The sequence below is a fragment of the Homo sapiens genome, chromosome 10, assembly GCF_000001405.40.
Source record: "Homo sapiens chromosome 10, GRCh38.p14 Primary Assembly".
Taxonomy (NCBI): domain Eukaryota; kingdom Metazoa; phylum Chordata; class Mammalia; order Primates; family Hominidae; genus Homo; species Homo sapiens.
Genome location: NC_000010.11, coordinates 31,532,498 through 31,538,497, shown reverse-complemented (window position 1 = coordinate 31,538,497; position 6,000 = coordinate 31,532,498).

The window sequence follows — 6,000 nt, the reverse complement described above, 5'->3', positions numbered from 1 at the left end:
TCACACATGTAATCCCAGTATTTTGGGAGGCAGAGTTAGGAGGCTTGCTTGAGGCCAGGAGTTCAAGACCAGCCTTGGCAGCATACAGAGACTCTGTACAAAAACAAATAAAAAATTAGCTGGGCACGATGGTGTGTACCTGTAGTCCCAGCTACTCAGGAGGCAGGGGCCAGAGGAGTCTGAAGCTGCAGTGAGCTATATAAATAGGTAAACAAGATGTGATGTATACAAAATGGATGGAAATTCTGACATATGCTACAATGTAAGTGAAGCTGGAAAATATTATGCTAAGTGAAATAATCTAGAACCAAAAGGATATTGTACCATTTTAATACAATATCATTTTGGTTCTGTTTATGTGAAATATCTTCTGCTTATGTGAAATATCTGGAATAGGCAAATTTGTGCAACAGAAAGTAAAATAGAGGTTACCAGGGCCTGGGGATAGGAGAGAAGGGGTAGTTAGTATTTCAAGGGTACAGAGCTCCTGTGTGGAATCATGAAAAAGTTCTGGAGATGGATGGGGGTGATGAATGCAGAACGCTGATAATGTACTTAGTGCCAATGAAGTGTATACACTTAAAAATGGTTAACATGGTGAATTTTACCACAATAAAAAAAGAGTACACAATCCCAAAAAAGAAATAATGGATTTGAGAATCTTTGATCACCTCTGGCCAGCAAGTCTCTTCTCTTTGTTCTATTGGAGGGTTAAATCTCTTCTGAACTTAGTGACTACCTCAGCGAAGGGGAAAGACATCTATTACAACATTGTTTGTTTGTCAGCCTTCCCTCGATGACATATGCCAGAGCAAAGCAATCTTTACATTTAATCATAGTCCCCTCAGTGGCTTCTAGAGAGAGCCTTGCTCAAGCAGTCTGCTTTGTGAGTAGTTACTACCTGCGGAATTTGTGTTCCACTACCCTGTCCACTTCATAGGAATTATGTAACTAATTCCTAACACACAGCGATACCTACAGCATTCCAGTATTAACCTTGATGCCTGATGAGGACTACATATTTCCACTTTTTTCAGCTTCTGTTTGTGTAGCTGAATCAAAGCCAAGATACGATTGTCCTCTGGGATGGCTAGATGTCCTTATCACCTGTTAGCAGAGAACAATAAGTTGATGTATACTTGTGTATGTGTAAGCACATGTGTATATGTGTGCATAGAGACACACACAGGCACACACATGGTTTTAGAGTTCTTCGTCTACTTTTCCAAGCGTACTTTCATAGATCTTGCCATGTATTTTAGTATATCTCTGAGAAGTAGGTTGGAGCAGAAAATTTCCCCTCATTTAAGTCCGTGAAAAATAAAATTACTGATGAAAACTTACACGAGTTAATACTGACACAAGCTCTATGATTTGTTTACATTGGGAATCATGTTCGTCAGATGAAATTATTGTGCATAATTCATAGGATTTCTGGTGATTTTATATTGATGACCCTGAACATTTTCTAGTCATAATTCCTTATTTTGAAGATCTGGAAAGCAAAAACTTCTTGAGTTTCTAATATTAAAAATGAGTTATGTGCTATCACCATCTAAAATTAACTATACTCTTGAGGAAAGCATTTTCTAAAAGTCACTGTATTTCTAAAATCCTATCTTTTTCAAATGCATAACCATCTCAGGTGAATGTCAAGCCAGTATACATTGCCAGGCCTGCCTCAGTAGTCTGGGTGTTCAGATCTTGGCTTACATTTGGGCCAGTCTAGGGCAGGTCTGGAGAAGCTCCAGGACTTGTAAACTCAGTGAACACCCCACCCCCACCCCAGGAACGTTTGCTGTAGGAAACAGTTCTCGAACACGAGCTGCTGGGTTTGGGCTCTGCCCTGTCTCCTTCTCTTCCACCAGAACAGCTCTGATTGTACATGCTTCACACATTGGATTTCCATCTCTTTTTCAAAAGTTTGAAAATTATTTCCCTCAAGTAAGCCAGGTTTGGACTAGCTCCAGAACTGACCTAATGCTCTGGACAATCTTTGGATCAGAGATGACGTGAGGACAACATCACAGGTCTAGGTTTCAGCAATAGAGGAACACAGCATTTTCTGAAGATACAGATGATTAAAAACATATAACTTGTAATTTGCCTTGAAGATGCCTGTACTGAAGATATTTTCTCCCTTCCCACCTTCTAGTATTCTAAGACTGAAAGAAAAGCAAACCTAATCCAATAACAGAAATATGAGTTACTGAACAAAAAAGGGCAACAAAGCTCAAAACGTATTATTAGAACATAAAAGAGTGCTTACTATTATGCTTAGAATATAAAACAAGTACTTTTGGTCTGTTTTTAATTAGTAAAGGAAATGAGGGTTATGTGAGGTTGACATCAAAAAGGATAATCTGTCCTCCAAATTATAAATTATGTACCTCTGTTATTCTGATGCACTATAACATTTTCTATAGTTTAGATATTATATAGAATTAAATCTACTTTAGCCAAAAAAAAAAATCCAATGTCTAAAAGCAGATGTCATTAGAATGTCTATCTTAGCCAAAGTAACATCCCAACAAGTTATACTCACAAATGCTTAGCTTTCAGAAAGGATAGTTTTCAAAGGTAAGTTGTGAAATGTACAGCAAAGTCACTAAATGAGATAATTCATTGTATGGAATTATTATTTATAAAACAGATTAAAGTTAAAAATGTTTTTCCAAGACTTAAATTTAGAATGACATACCTACCTTCTTTTGAATAAAATCAGATGATTTTTATGTAAAAGTGCATTTGTATTTCTGTTTGAGCTTGGAACTTTTGCTTTCTTATAGCTTCAGGGATTTAATTCATTTTTTGGTTATCTTAATACATTCTCCTATGTGTTTAAAAATCAGCCCTATTGAGCTATAACCTGCAGGCAAAAAAACATGGTTTTAAACACACTAATTTGTTTAGTTTTGACAAATTTGTATATCTATATAGCCACCACACCATCATGTTATACTTGGCATATCTATTTTTGATATTCATCCATGTCATTTGTTGTTATTTATTGTTGTGGTATTCCATTGCATGGATGTAATGCAATTTGTTTATTCATTCACTGGTTGATAGACATTTGAGCTATCTCCAGTTTGGCTATTATGACTAAAACTGCTAAAACTGATGTGAACATATTAATACAATTCTCCAGGTGGATATATGTTTTCATTTATCTTGGATGAATACCAGGGGGTGAGATTTTTGGGTTGTATGTTAAATATGTGGGTTTTTAATAAGAGACTGACAAACTATTTTACCATTTTGAATTCCTACCAGCCATGTACAAAAGTTCTAGTTGCTCTATATCCTGGCCAACATTTGGTGTTTGTTACTGACAGTCTTTTAAATTTCAGCCATTCTATCGGTTGTGTAGTGATAGCATAGTGGTTTTTTTTTTTTTTTTTTTGTCTATTGGTTGTGTAGTGATAGCACAGTGTTTTTGTTTTTTTTTTTTTTTGAGACGGAGTCTTGCTCTGTTGCCCAGGCTGGAATGCAATGGTGTGATCTCGGCTTACTGCAACCTCTGCCTCCTGGGTTCAAGCAGTTCTCTGCCTCAGCCTCCTGAGTAGCTGGGAATACAGGTGCCTGCCACCACGCCCAGCTAATTTTTGTATTTTTAATAGAGACTGGGTTTCACCATATTTGCCAGGCTGGTCTTGAACTCCGGGCATCGTGATCCACCCGCCTCGGCCTCCCAAAGTGTTGGGATTACAGGCGTGAGCCACCGCACCCAGGCCAGTGTATGTTTTAATTTGTCTTTTCCTAGTGACTAATGGTGTTGATCATCTCTTCATAAGCTTATTTCTCTCTTGAATGCTTTCTTTGGTAAAGCGTCTGTTTAAAATTCTGCCCAATTAAAAAATAGTGTTTTCTTCTTTTTATTTAGTTGTAAGAGTTTTTAGATATTCTTTATATATTCAACATGTATAAACACATATTTTTAACAGCTTTATTAAGATACAGTTCACATACCATAGTTAACCCCTTAAAATATATAATTACATGGATTAGTATCCTCACAGAGTTGTGCAGATATCACCACAATCTAATTTAGAACACTTTCATCACCCCCAAAAGAAACTCATACCCATTAGTAGTCAGTCACTCCCCATTCTCTCCCCACCTCGAGCACTACGCAGCCACTCATCTACTTTCTGTCTATATCGATTTGCCTATTTTGGACATTTCATATAAATGAATAATAGAATACGTACTCTTGTGATTGGTTTCTTTCACTTAGCATAATGTTTTCAGGATTCGTCTAGGTTGTAGCATGTACAAGAATTTCATTCCTTTTTAAGGCTGCATAGTATTCCATTGTATGGATACACTACATTTTAACTATTCATCAATTGATGGATTTGGGTTGTTTACATTTTTTGGCTATTATAAGTAGTGCTGCAATGAACATTCATATATAGGTTGTGTAGACGTGCTTTAAACGTCTCTTGGGTATATGCACATATGTTTTGCAAATATTTTCTCCCCATCTGTGTATCCCATTCTGATTTTCTTAACGGCATCTTCTTAACAGATTTACATTTTGATGAAGTCCAATCCAACAATTTTATGATTCATGCTTTTAGTGTCTTATCTAGGAAACCTTTGTCTAACTCAAGATCACAAAGAATTTATTTTCCTCTAGAGGTTTTATAATTTTAGCTCTTATATTTAGGTCTATAATCCATTTTGAAACAATTTTTGTATATGGTATGAGTTAAGAATCAAGTTCATATGGATATCGAATGTCATACAGATATCTAATATCAGCATTGCTTTTAGAAAGGACGATTGTGTCACCATTTATACCTTGAAACATTTGGCAAAAATCAATTGATTATATATATGTGGGTGTCTTTTCTACTATTATTTCTGTTTTCTTGATCTATGTGTCTATTCTCACACCCAATGCAACTTTGTCTTGATTACTGTAGCTTTATAAAAATGTCTCTAGAAATCAGGTAGTGTAAGTCCTCCAACTTTTTTTTTTCAAAATTGCTTTGCCTACTTGAAGTCCTTTGTATTTCCATGTAAGTGTAGAACCAGCCTGTCAATTTCTACAGATACGTTGCTGAGATTTTTAGTGCAATTGCACTGAGTCAATAAATCTTGGGGAGAATTGACATCTTAATGATATTGAGTCTTCTGATCCATGAACATAGAGTATCTCTCAATTTTCATTGCATCTTTAATTTCTTCCCAGCAACATTTTGTAGTTTTCAGTGTACAGGCTTTGCCCATATTTTATCAAATATAAGTATTTTATACTTTTGATATTTAAAACATTTCCATTCTTATTGCTAGATAGAATATGATTGACTTTTGCATAATGGCTGTGTATCTTATAACCTTACATTCACCTTTTCTAGTTTTTTGCAAATTCCTCTGTTTTCCATTCTTATCACTAGATAGTATATGATTGATTTTTGCATAATGGCTGTGTATCTTGTAACCTTACATTTACCTTTTCTAGTTTTTTGCAAATTCCTTGTTTTCTACACAGACAGCCACACTATCTGCAAATAAAGTTTTACTTATTTTTTCCCCAATGTGTATTTCTTTCATTTATTTTTGTCATGTTTCCCTGGGTGGGATCTCCAGTACAATGTTCAATAAAGGTGTGAGAGCAGATATTCTTGCCTTGTTCCTAATTTTAGGGGGAGAGCAGTAGATCCTACACACTGAGTATGATGTTAACTGTAGGTATTTTGTTGATGCTCTTTATTAGGTTGAGAAAACTCCCTTCAATTCCTGGATTGCTGAGAACATCTATGGCTTGGTGTTTAATTTTGTCAGATGCTTCTTCCACACCTATTGAGATGATTGTTTTTTCTTTTTATGCTATAAATATAGTGAATTACACTACAAACGGTCCCTGCCTTATGACGACTTGACTTTATATCTTTCATCTTTATGATGGTGCAAAAGCAATACACATTCAATAGCAACCATATTTTGATCAAAATATTTTTTGATTAACCATAATTCTGATTTTTTTGG